The sequence below is a fragment of the Homo sapiens genome, chromosome 14 (assembly GCF_000001405.40).
Source record: "Homo sapiens chromosome 14, GRCh38.p14 Primary Assembly".
Classification (NCBI taxonomy): domain Eukaryota; kingdom Metazoa; phylum Chordata; class Mammalia; order Primates; family Hominidae; genus Homo; species Homo sapiens.
The window spans coordinates 105,673,235-105,687,076 of record NC_000014.9 but is presented as its reverse complement, the minus strand read 5'-3'; the positions used below and the strand labels follow the sequence as shown (position 1 = coordinate 105,687,076).

The 13,842-nt window shown below is 56.7% G+C and overlaps 1 gene, besides 1 other annotated feature; it reads left to right on the top strand.

Annotated features, from left to right (window-relative positions):
• The window catches only part of IGH (immunoglobulin heavy locus), a 1,293,408-nt gene that overhangs the window by 1,192,768 nt on the left and 86,798 nt on the right, over positions 1 to 13,842 (top strand).
• Positions 595 to 955: an enhancer (HS4 enhancer).

The window sequence follows — 13,842 nt, the reverse complement described above, 5'->3', positions numbered from 1 at the left end:
CACATGGCGTTGCTGGGCCAGGCTTTGGCACATGGGGTCAGGGAAGGCTCGGAGAGCGTACGCCTTGGCCTCTCTGGCGGCATGTCCGGGTCTGCGGGGCAGAGGTCACAGTTGCTGCCCCACGACACCGCATGTGCCCCTGCAGGGCCTGGGAATGGCACCCCGCAGAGCCCGCACTCAGGGCCAGCTCGTGTCAGCACCGCGTGGACCACGTCCCGAGGACACCTGGGCCAGCCAGTGCTGCGGGCTGCAGCGAGTGTGTGTGCACACGCATGCCCATATACGTGTTGTGTGTGCTTGTGTGCATGGGAGGGGGTCCCTGGGTGGGCCAGGGTCTGCCTCGGGGGCTGGAGTGGGAGGCCTGGGCCCCTCAGCTTTCCTCCAACCCAGCCTCACTTCCCCGCCCCTCTCACCTCTGCGTGGCCACCAGCCAGCCCTGGGCTTGGCCCCGGCATGAGGCCTGAGGCAGGGCCCTGGATAACGCTCAGGACGGGCACCTGGGCCTTCTGGGCCTCCTCGCCAAGGACCAGACTCGGCCTCAGCGCCTCACACTCATCGGGGGTCATGCCCTGGGGCCCAGCCAGGACCCTCGCTGCCCCACTCAGGAGGCTGGACACACTAGCAGGTGGGGGGGCCGCAGCTCCCCCTCCCCCACCCCCGTCCAGTCTGAAAAACAAGACCTCATGGGCACCGGGCCGCAGCTCCCACCCCCACCCCACCACACAGGCACAAACACATTCTTGCAAATATTTCTAAAAATGCTGAAAATGGGAACCACAGAGCAGGTGGGACAGTGGTGTGGAAACCCCCACCCACCTCCGAGATGGCGATTTGCATTGGGGGAGGTGGGGGGAAGGCTGGCACCCAGGCAGCTGGTTTGCAGGATTCCTGACTATTCACACTCCCCAGCCACACCCCATGTCCAGGCCAATGCTGTGGCCAGGCCCAGAGTGACCAGGCCCCAGGGCACTTCCCAGAGGACTGCCTGGTGGAGGGGGTAACAAGTCGGACCTTGCCCCAGGGGAGCTGGGCCAGGGAGGAGACCCCTGCATGGAGGTCCCAGGCATGGCCCCCAGGAACAGGACCCCCAGCACCCTCGGAAGAGGATTTTGTGGGTCACCTGGGGACAGAGCTTCCTCCGTGCACCTGCTGGGCCCCTCACAGCCCACCTGTCACCAAACCTCTGTCCTCCCCTGTGCCCAGGCCTGGCCAACCCAGGCGCTTTCAGCCCGTAGACCCTAGGTGGGGTCGCCCAACCCTACCCCGGCCTCAGGACCCTCTGGGGTTGCCCCACGAGACCACCCCAGAACAGACCTGCCCAACCCCAGCCCTGCATCTTCAGTGGGACACAGAGGCCTCCATAGGACCCCACCCCACACCCAGGGGCTGTCCGGGGCCCATCACCCCAGCAGCTGAGACCCTGGGAGATGACACCCTGTGCCTAGAACAGGGTGGACCACATGGGGGGACATTGTGACCCGTGTCCCAGCCAGGCAGGACAGCCCCACCCCAGCCTCCTAGAGGAGGGGTCTGTGCCTGCGCCCACCCCCTCAGTGGAACCTAAGCCCTCCAGGGAGGACTCAAGTTTGAGGAAAGGATCCCTGGGAAGACCCCCAGGGTGCAGCCCGGGTGACAGGGCTCAGGGGGCCCTTCCTGCACATACAGCCTCCCACAAATATAGTCATGCACACCCCACAGAGACACACAGAACACACAAACACACAGAGACACAGACACATAGACAGACTTAGAGACATAAAGACACACAATACACACAGACACACTAACACACACACAGACACCTAGACACACATACAGAGACAGACACACACAAACACACAGAAACACAAGCACACATACCACACACACACGACACACAGATACACATAGACACACACAGAGACAGAGACACACACAGACACAGAGACACACAAACACAGATATACCTCACACACACACACACGGACACACATACAAAGACAGAGACACACACAAACACACAGACACACAAGCACAGACACACTACCACACACATACAGGCACACAGACACATAGACACATATACAGAGACAGAGACACACACAGACACAGAAACACAAGCACAGACACACTACCACACACACAGAGACACACAGACACACATAGGCACACACAGAGTCAGAGACACACAGACACAGAAACACAAGCACAGACACACTACCACACACAGACACGCATAGGCACACACAGAGACAGAGACACACGCAGACACAGGTACACAAGCACAGACACGCTACCACACGCAGAGACACACACAGAGATAGATACAGACACACATAAAGTCAGAGGCACACACAGACACATACAGACACACAGAGGTACACGGCACAGACACACACACTCAGAGGCTCACACTCAGCCACAGCCACGTGCACACAGCTCACACGGCCCACACTCAGGTCCACAAGGGCTCACAGCGTCACAGAGGCCCCCAGTCCCACAGCCAGACAAGCACAGGCCGTGCTCACGCTCACACACTGACGCACACATTCTCCCACCCGCTGCCAAGCTCACGCTCACACATGCACACGTGGCATTGCTGGGCCAGGCTTTGGCACATGGGGTCAGGGAAGGCTCAGAGAGTGAGCATCACAGACACAGGGTGGGACTGGTGTCCGGGGGGTCCATGAGCAGCCGAGGGGCAGCCCTGCCACGCCCACAGGCCCCAGGTCTATTCTCAGGCACCCGCCTGGGGCTGGGGGCTTCCTTCTGGGAACTCGAGGACCTCCGTTCTGCACGGAGACACACGTCCAGAAAGGGACACCCCAGGGCCACACCCAGACACACCCAGCCCGACTCGGGCACCCAGCACACGCCAGGCACACAACAAACACAGGAGCTGGCACACGCCTGGCCCCAGGCCAGGACAGCAGCAGGCAACTCGGCCAGTGCACACAGCCGCTCACACACACCACACATCCCCACAAGCCCTCACACCCTCACATCCCCACACACCCTCACAGATCCTCACACTCCCACACATCCACACACATCCTCAAACACCCCACACATCCACACACACCCCACACACCCCACACATCCACACACACCCTCACATCCCCACACCCTCACACACCCCACACCCCACACACCCCCACACATCCACACACACCCTCACATCCCCACACACCCCCACACATCCACACACACCCCACACCCCACACACACCCTCACACCCTCACACATCCTCACACTCCCACACATCCACACACACCCTCACATCCCCACACATCCACACACACCCCACACACCCACACACACCCTCACATCCCCACACCCTCACATATCCTCACACTCCCACACATCCCCACACATCCCCACACCCCACATCCACACACATCCACACACATCCTCACACACATACACACACCCTCACACACCACACACCCACTCCCTCACACACCCTCACACACCCCACACATCCACACACCCTCACACTCTCACACCTTCACACATCCACACACACCCCACACCCCACACGTGCACACACACCCTCACATCCCCACACATCCACACACACCCCACACCCCACACACCCCACACATCCTCACATCCACACACACCCCACACACCAAACACACCCTCACACATCCTCACACTCCCACACATCCACACACACCCCACACCCCACACATCCACACACACCCTCACATCCACACACATGCACACACACCCCACACATCCCACACATCCACACACACCCTCACACCCTCACACTCCCTCACACCCCCACACTCTCACACCCCCCCACTCTCACACCCTCACTCACACACTCTCACACACCCTCACACCCTCACAGTCTGAAAACTTCACACACCCTCACACCCTCACACACCCACACACCCTCACACACCGTCACACACTCCACACATACCCTCACACACTCTCTCACACACACCCTTACACCCTCACTCTCACACACCCACACACTCTCACACACCCTCACACATACACACCCTTGACAGCTTGCCTGCAGTCTGTCAGAGGGGTCCCTCAGAGGGCCACCACGCCCTGCGGATCAGGTGCCCAGAATCCACCATCCAGCGGCTCTGGGCCTTTCCCCTCTCAGCTCATGACCTTTGGGTACCACGGCTCAGGGGTACCCCTGTGCTCCCCAGCTGCCAATCCCTGCATCTCCTTGGGCCCCTGCTGACCTCTCCAGTGGCCTCAGGGTGACGTCCTGGCCAGGCCCTGTCCCTCTGCAGCCACCTCTGCCCACTGCCCCACCACCTGCCCAGGGCTCCCCCAGGCTCCCACACCAGCCGTGGGGGTCTCTCAGGCAGGCCGGCCAGGTGGCACCACGGCTCCCCCAAGGGCAGCAGGTCAGGCGTGAGCATTGCCGTCTCCCATCCCCTCCTGCTGAGCCCCCACAGGAGCCTGGCAGCCCGATCCTGTCGCCATAGTGAGGGCAGCTCCTGGCCCACCAGGCCCAGTCCACACCAGCCGGCCGCAGGCAGCGTGTCTGGGAGACACCCCAGGCCGCCCACCGCCCAGCAGGGGACAAGCCAGCCCCCAGACCCGTGCCCTGCACAGGGGGACGGGGCTCAGACCCAGGCTGCCCTTGACAGCAGGAGCTGTGGTGGGCCCACGGTGGGGACCACTGGGGACAGGCCTGGGGGCACACAATGCTCCTGAGGGGCCTCAGGCTGCGTCCTGGGTTGGGGCACTGTTCTGTGAGTAGGTGACATGTCACCTTGAAAGGGCTTCTATTTCACTAAGAGAAAAGGTGGAGGCTTTCCTGGGGGAGGGCGGTGCGGTGTTGTGTGGGACAGTGAGAGAGGGACCACCAGCACAGACAAAGGAGAGGAAAGTGCAGGGGGGGTGGGGGCTGCAGGGACAGAGGCTTGGGGAGGCGCTGGAACCGCAGGGCGCGGGCCTGGGGGGCCCACACGCCACCTCGAGGGACCGCACCTGGGGACCACAGACGCAGGCCCACTCGGGCTCTGGAGGGCCCTCCTGGGGCTGCCTGGCCACGCTCTCTCTCTCCTGGTCCCAGATCCCCTCCACGGCCCCTCCCCACCCGTCCATCCAGAGGTTGCCCAGGGCTGGTCAGAAGGGGTCACATGACACCCCCAGGACCGGCTGGAAGTGGAGGGATCGTGGTCCCGCAATTCAACTCCCACCCGGCACTCCCCACTCAACATCACTTAGGACAGTTATATTGTTTCGGGTTTTTTTTTTCTTCTGTATTAAAAGCATTAACTTCCAATACTGCTTTTATAAAACACACATGCACTGTGGTGAGGACGTTTTGTTAAAATGAAAGGGACAAGCCGGGGCTGGACGGGGAAGCCCCCTGGTGGGGGGACACGGGAGGGGCACCCTGCACTCACAGAAAAGCCCCTCCATTCTTTGCACGTTTCAAATGTTGTATTTTCAAATATAATTAAGCGACGTGGGAGGAAGGGCACCGCGTGCTAGGCAGGAGCAGCCCCCTCCTGGGAGGGAGATGGCAGACAGGGGACAGGGTGGGGGACAGGGTGGGGGACAGGGTGGGGGACAGTGACCAGGTGAGGAAAGATGCGGGTCAGGGACTGGGGGTGCAAATGGGGAGGTGGTGGGAGACGAAGCCCCTCCAAACCTGACGCCCCGCCGCTTCCCGAGCCCGGGGTTCAGGGCTTCCTGTTTTCCTGTGTGATTATGAGCTCCTGCTCCTGCCCTCGCCCCACGCGCGAGTCTCCCCTGGAAGGATGTGCAAGCTTTTCACAAGCACCACAGACTCTTACAACCCGGGACCACCTGGGACCCCAGGCGGTCAGGACCAGGGCCACCCCACACGGCAGGCACCAGCGCTCCTGACCTGGGCTGCAGAACAGCCTGTGGTCAGGCAGGGGCTCCCACTGGCCCCTGTCCTCGGCAGGCCCTTCCCCAGGAGCAGCGTCCGGGAGCTCAAGACAGGCTTGGGGGCTGCCCGTCCACCTGGGGAGGATCTTTGCAGGGCCCTTTCTTTCTCACTAAACAGCTTGCCTGTAGAAAGGAGAATTCGAAGGGATTTAAATCCAGTATTTTTACTGGTTTTCCCCGGGGCTAGCCAGGGTGTCTGCCCCACCTGCTGGTGGAAACGAAGTTCCCACTCTGGCCTTCTCCGTTAGGGCTTTATTTCATGGAGGTTGCATATGCCCGCCTCCCTGCAATGCGATGGTGAGGCCAGGGACTGGGGATGGGGCAAGGCCTGGAAGGGTGTGACTGTCTGTGAGGTGGGGATGGGCCTGCAGAGGGACGTCCGGGAATACACGGAGGCGTCTCGCACCGACACCGGGGTTCACTGTGACGGGAGGGGCTAGAGACCATCTGAGTGGGCTGGAATGGGGGTTGTCGCACACCCCTCGGGGGTGGATGTGGGTGCCCAGCAAGAGAAGCAGACCCGGCCCCACAGGAGGCTGCAGATGGAAGCTTCAGAGGCGGCTCCGGGGCTGCCACAAACCCCGCCCCTCCACGTGCCTCCCTGTCCCGGGAGCCGCCCCTCTGACCCCCAGGCCCTTCCCCGGACGTCCCAGCTGCTCCACAGCCCAGGCTTCTCCCCTCCTGCCCCCATGGAACCCCCACCCTGGGCTGTCTGGGCCTGCCTAGCCGGCCGTGTGGGGTCCCCCAGGCCCGTGGCCCAAGCACCCATCTCCGTGTCCAGCGCCCAGCGCACTCGGACGTTTCACACGCGGGCCTCTGGGGAGGACCCCCAGGCACCGCCAGCCCAACCCCGGCGGCCGGAAACTGGACCCGCTGCGGCAGCCGCTGAGGCTCTGCTGCCCCCGTGTGGCCGACAGCAGCATCGAACGCCGCCGACCACGCGGCGCTTCCCGGGCTCGGGGCAGGGGCAGGGGCAGGGGCACGGGCAGGGGCAGGGGCAGGGGCAGGGGCAGGGGCAGGGCCAGGGCCAGGGGCAGGGCCAGGCGTGCTCTCGGGGCCGGATCCCGGCTCTGCCTTGGGCTCAGGGCTGGGGCCCGGTCCGTGTCCAGCACTGTGATCCCCTCCCCTCCCCAGCGCCTGCCGCGGAGGTGGCTGTGGCATCCGCGAACAGGCATCAGCTTGTGGGGCTCTGTGGTCTGGGATCCCAGCCTCTGCCAAAGTCCTGCATTCCCTGGGTGTGGGGACGCTGTGACCTGGGGACGCTGTGGCCTGGGGGCCTTGCAAGGCTGCACCTGGGGCAGATGGGGAAGCTGGCCTGGGCTCCTCGGTGGGGCCCCGCGCCCCCCACTTCTGCCGGCAGCATCCGATGCTCCCTGACCCTGGTCAGGACCCTTCCTCCTGGCGTGGCCCAGTGTCCCCGCGGAAGCCCCAGAACGCGGCCTGCCCGGGAGCCGGCTCGGGCCTGGGGCCTGCGGGTCTTCACTATGGTCGCGAATGGACCCACGGGATGCTGCATGAGGCGCACGAGCTTGAGGCACCAGCCTCCGGCCACTGTCCCTGGAGGACAAGGGACGCGGCTCCGGAGCAGAGGGTCCTCCCCTGGGGATGCCCTCCCGGCGGCTGGGTGTGGGGCTGGGGGCTGTGCCCGGAAGTGGGTGGGTGGGAGAAGCCCTCCTGAGCACAGAGGACAGCAGCCAGGCCCAGGCCCAGGCCCTGCAGGCCCCCAGGGGCTCCAGAGCCCCAGAGAGGAGGAAGGCCTCCGTGTGCTCAGAATCAGCTCACACCCCGGGGACGAACCTCAGAGGGCCGGGACAAGGAAAGGAAGGCCCCGGCCCAACATCGGGGTCTGGGCGCTGGTGGGACAGGGCAGGCTCAGCCTTGGGGCCGGTCAGGGCCCTGTTGGGGTTCGGGTCCCCCTGCCAGGTCCGCGTCTGCAGCCACAGCCCCTCAACCCCAGCAGGGACCCCAGAGACCGGCTCGGGACCCCCTGGTGGCCGTCTTGTGCCACTGCAGTTCTGCTGCTGAGAGGTTCCCGGGGTTCCCGGGGTTCCCGGGGTCCCTGGCCCGGCAGCCTCCTGGGCTCCCAGGCAGGCGCGCTCTGCCGTCCGCTCATGCGGGGACAGCGGACCTCAGAGGCAAGCCTAAAAGACGCGCCCAGATCAGGATCCCAGGAACCCAGCTCACATACAAATCAGAAAAGCCCTAAAGAAGCAGAAACAAGAATCAGTGAAACAAGAAACTATAGAATAAGAACCCAAACAAAAGCAAAATGTCGGCGTTATCAGACATAGAATATGCAATGTGTGCTTCAGAGGGTTTTTTTGTTTGTTTTGTTTTGAGATGGAGTCTCGCTCTGTCGCCCAGGCTGGAGTACAGTGGTGCGATCTCGGCTCACTGCAACCTCCGCCTCCCGAGTTCAAGCGATTCTCCTGCCTCAGCCTCCTGAATAGCTGGGACTACAGGTGCCCGCCACCACGCCCGACTAATTTTTTTGGATTTTTAGTAGACACGGGGTTTCACCGTGTTAGCCAGGATGGTCTCGATCTCCTGACCTCATGATCTTCCTGCCTCAGCCTCCCAAAGTACTGGGATTACAGCGTGGCCACCACGCTCGGCCAAGAGATTTTTTAAACTTACTTACAGAAGCTATTCAAATATTACTGCAAAATGGGAAATTACTGCACATTGCATTTTGAAATGACCTGAGAGTTTTACGAAGAACTTCTAGAATTGAAAACCGTAATAGATGAGGCTAAAATAAGAATGGATGGGACAGGCAGCGCAGAGGACACGCAGGAGCGGGAGCTGGTAACACCGAAGAAAGAGCAGGAGACGCCACCCAGCCCGAGCGCAGCCCCGCGGAGGCTGGACGGAGGCTCCCACAAGGGCTTCTTCTGCCCAAAGGAGAAACAGAGTCGGGGGAGGCAGTGGCTGGGAATTTTCCAAAATCGCTGAATAACAGGACGCGTCAGGATCAAGGCCAAGTCCCAAGCAGGATAAATAAAAGCAAACTCCACGTCCACACCTTGACGCTTGCCGATGGAGCTGCCAACACCAGAGGCAAAGAGACTTTAGAAGCATCCAAAAGGAGGCCGGGCGTGGTGGCTCACATCTGTAATCCCAGCACTTTTCGAGGCAGAGGTGGGTGGGTCACCTGAGGTCAGGAGTTGGAGAGACCAGCCAGGCCAACATGGTGAAACCCGGTCTCTATTAAAAACACAAAAATTAGCTGGACGTGGTGGCGGGTGTCTGTGGTCCCAGCTACTCGGGAGGCTGAGGCAGGAGAATCGCTTGAGCCCGGGAGGCGGAGGTTGCAGTGAGCTGCCATCGCGCCACTACCCTCCAGCCTGGGAGACAGAGTGAGACTCTATCAAAAAAAAAAAAAAAATCCGTCAGGGCCGGCCCAGGCAGGTGCACTCGCGCGGCCACAGACTCCAGAGCCGGACTCGGGAGCCCCCCGGCGGCCGTCCCGTGCCACTGCACGTTCTCATAGACAGGAGAGTCTCAAGAACCCTGGAGCAAACAAGACGCCTGGAGCAGCCTCCCAGCATCTACTCACCTCTGCCGGCCGTTTACACCCGAAAGCCACCCCTCAAGACCAGGACAACGGTGACACTTTCATACAAAGGGCACAGGCACTTAACTCCGCACGCTGGCTGCTGGCGCCTCCTAAGAGTGTGTTTAGAAATGTTAAAGAAAAAATTATTCCATGATAGTTGTTCAATGCGGAGGCAGGTGTGATTCAGGACCACCGCCGCAGGAGCAGGGACCACGGCCATGCGGGAGAGAGATGGGGCTCAGTTCTTAACACAGCATGGGCTGGCGGGGATTGACAGCCAGGGAGCTGGGTAAACTCGGAGGACGGACATTCCCAAGAGGAAATATTGGGGGGAAGGAGGGTTCTGGCTAAATTAGCCCAGGAAGATTTTTGCTGAAGACAGACCAGGGTGATCAGACCTGGGAGATGGTGGAAGATGAGGAACTCAGGATCAAGGGTGATCAAATGTCAAGAGTGGGTCTTTAACCTGATTTAGGGGGGTTCTTTTTTTTTCTTTTTTTTTTTTTTTTTGAGACGTAGTCTCACTCTGTCACCAGGCAGTGGCACGTGTCATCGTGCAGTGGCACGATCTTGGCTCACTGCAACCTCTGCCTCCTGGGTTCAAGCAATTCTCCTGCCTCAGCCTCCCGAGTAGCTGGGATTATAGGCGCGTGCCACCACACCCAGCTAATTTTCGTATTTTTAGTAGAGACAGGGTTTCACCATGTTGGCCAGGCTGGTCTGGAACTCCTGACCTCAGATGATCAGCCCACCTCAGCCTCCCAGAGTGCTGGGATTACAGGCATGAGCCACCGCTCCGGGCCCCACCGGGTACTTTTTAAAGCCTTTTTCTTACAAGGAAGTGCAGGCCGGCCTAGGAGAAGTTTCCAGAGCCCGACTGCAGTTTAGCCAAGCAGAGAATCTTTGTCAGTCCACACTGTTTAAGGAAAGAGGAGACATTCTCGTTTCCCTCCAACAATATAAGTCCATTTTCTTGTTGGGTGGCCTTTCGTTCATTAAGAACCAGCTGGATTTTCTGTTGGGACTGGATAGAAGAGGACATTTCGCCGCATGGTGCTAGCAGTTGGACATTCGAAGAGGAGAGACTCTGAAAATAAATGAAACACAAAGGTTAACACTTAGAAATGCAGTTTCTGAGCCCAGTGGGCACCAGGCCAGAAGATTTCTAGACGCTGGGCCTGAAGCATCTTCAGCTGCAGCCAGGTAGGCAGCTGAAGGGCCTTCCTGATTTGCAGGTCAGGTGTTGCAGAAGCTGCCCGCACAGGATCTGTGGGGATGATTTCTCTGAAGTTTACATCAACTTGTCCCATTTCAGCTCACAGGGCTTCAGGAAAAGGGCAGTTTTAAATTTGACTGATTCCAAGTCAGAGGGTGAGGGAAAAATTAGTTTGCAGAGTTGTTGCCTGATATTAGAGAAAACTAGAAGAATTCTGAAGGGGCCAGCCCCTCCACACCTGTGGGTATTTCTCATCAGGTAGGACGAGAGACTGAGAAAAGAAATAAGACACAGAGACAAAGTATAGAGAAAGCACAGTGGGCCCAGGAAACCGGCGCTCAGCATACAGAGGACCTGCACCGGCACCGGCCTCTGAGTTCCCTCAGTATTTATTAATTACTATTTTCACTATCTCAGCAAGAGGAATGCGGCAGGAGAACAGGGTGACAGTGGGGAGAAGGTCAGCAAGAAAACGTGAGCAAAGGAATCTGTGTCACAAATAAGTTCAAGGGAAGGTACTATGCCTGGACATGCACATAGGACAGATTTATGTTTCTCTCCACCCAAACATTTCAGTGGAGTAAAGAATAACAAGGCAGCATTGCTGCCAGCATGTCTCGTCTCCCACCACAGGGTGGTTTTTCTCCTATCTCAGAATAGAATAAATGTACAATCGGGTTTTATACCGAGACATTCCGTTCCCAGGGGCAGGCAGGAGACAGAGGCCTTCCTCTATCTCAACTGCAAGAGGCCTTCCTCTTTTACCAATCCACCTCAGCACAGACCCTTCACGGGTGTCGGGCTGGGGGACGGTTAGGTCTTTCTCATCCCACGAGGCCATATTTCAGACTGTCACATGGGGAGAAACCGTGGACAATACCCGGCTTTCCAGGGCAGAGGTCCCTGCGGCTTTCCGCAGTGTATTGTGCCCCTGGTTCATCGAGACTGGAGAATGGCGATGACTTTTACCAAGCATACTGCCTGTGAACACTTTGTTAACAAGGCACGTCCTGCACAGCCCTAGATCCCTGAAACCTTGATTCCATACAGCACAGGTTTCTGTGAGCTCCAGGTTGGGGCAAAGTGGCTGGGGCAGAGTTACAGATTAACACCTCAGGGCAAAGCAGTTGTTCAGGGTACAGGTCAAAATGGAGTTTCTTATGTGTTCCTTTTCTACATAGACACAGTAACAGTTTGATCTCTCTTTCTTTTCCCTACATAGCCCCCTTTCCTTTTGACAAAACCGCCATCGTCATTATGGCCCCTTCTCGCTGGTCGCTGTCTCTTCAGAGCTGCGGGATATACCTGTAGACTTTGTTTTTTTCAGGCTTTTCTTAGCTAACTGTGTCAGCTCCTGTATTTGGCCCCAGGTCAGTGGCTTTGCTTCCTTGGTGGATGGCAACTTCTTCTGTAAGTTGTAGATACTAAATTGGAAGCTGGTTTTTTCCTGGGGAAATACAAGCAAAACTTCTCCCCCATGTTATCACCTTCCCTATTTCCCATGTCTTGTTTTTGTTGTCTTTCCACCACATCAGTTTTCCTTCATGTGGGCTGCTCTTTTTGCCAGTAAAATGTTGTTCTGCAGAAGTAGTGGTCTGATTTCTATAAATGTTTAAACAATTTAAAGTATAGATTGCTAGGTTAAGTTGCATCTGGGGAGCGTTATACTCCTGTCTTTTTCTTCTTTTTGTTTCACCAGTTGAGATTTTGAGTGTTCTATTAGTTCTTTCAATTATGGCCTGTCCTTGGGAATTATACAGGATTCCTGTTGTATGTGTAATTTTCCACTGATTTAAGAATTTTTGAAATGTTTTACTACAGTATCCTGGCCCATTATCTAATTTTTTCTGGAACTCCCATGACAGCAAAACAAGACAATAAATGTCTTTTAACATGGGAAGTACTTTCTCCTGTCTGGCAGGTTGCCCATACAAAATGTGAATAAGTATCAACTGTCACATGGACAAATGATAATTTTCCAAATGAAGGTACAGGTGTGACATCCGTTTGCCATAACGCATTAGGACATAGACCTCTGGGATTAACTTCTGCCTCCTGAGTGGGCAGGTGTAGGACTTGACACTAGGTGCAATGCTGTACAATATTTTTTGCCTGTTTCCATGTGATACCAAATTTATTTTTTAGTCCTGTTGCATTTACATGAGTTGAGGCATGAAGTTCTTGTGCTTCCATGAAGGCAGATGACACTAGCAAGTCAGCTTGTTCATTTGCTTTAGTTAAAGGCCCTGGTAAATTAGTATGCGCTCGAATTGAGTAATATAAAATGGGAAATTTCTTTTTCTCACAGTTTGTTGTAACAAATTAAACAGCTGGTTTAACTGATCATCCATGCTATATTTAATTAGGGCTGTCTCAACATCCTTTGTACCCTGTACTACATATGCAGAATCTGATACAATGCTAATAGGCTGATTAAAATCTTATAACACTGAAATGACAGCAACCAACTCTGCTCTTTGAGCTGAGTGATATTGAGTTTCAGTGACTCGTTCTTTTGGCCCAGTGTAAGCCACTTTTCCATTGCTAGAACCATCAGTAAACACCGTCAGAGCATTTTTTTAAAGGTTTCTGTCTGGTAATTTTAGGTAAAATCCAAGTAGTCAATTTTAAAAACTGGAAGATTTTCGTTTTGGGGTAATGATTATCAATAATTCCCACAAAATCAGCAAGACCCATCTGCCATGCACCAGAATTTATAAAGGCTTGTCTAACCTGTTCCTTGTTTACAGGAACAATGATTTTATCTGGGTCAATTCCACACAATTTTATTATTCGTAATTTTGCCTGACTAATTAATGTAGCCGTTTGATCCAAGTGCAATGTAAAAGTCTTAATCGTACTGTGAGGAAGGAAGGACCACTCCACAAGATCTGTGTTTTGAACAATGATGCCTGTTGGAGAATGTGCAGTAGCAAAAATCAAAAGTCGGAGTGGGGCTAAGTGGTCTATTCTATTTACTTGTGCTGGCTGAATTTTTTCTTCAACTAATTCAATTTCTTTCGTGGCCTCTGGAGTTAATGTTCTTTTACTATTCGATTCTGGATCCCCGCTCAAGATAGAGAACAAATTTGACATGGCATTAAGTCTACAAGTTTGTGTCCTATCCTGAGGTCGCAGGGTGCTCCACTGAGTGAGGACTGCCCGCCCCACCCAGAGGTGTCGG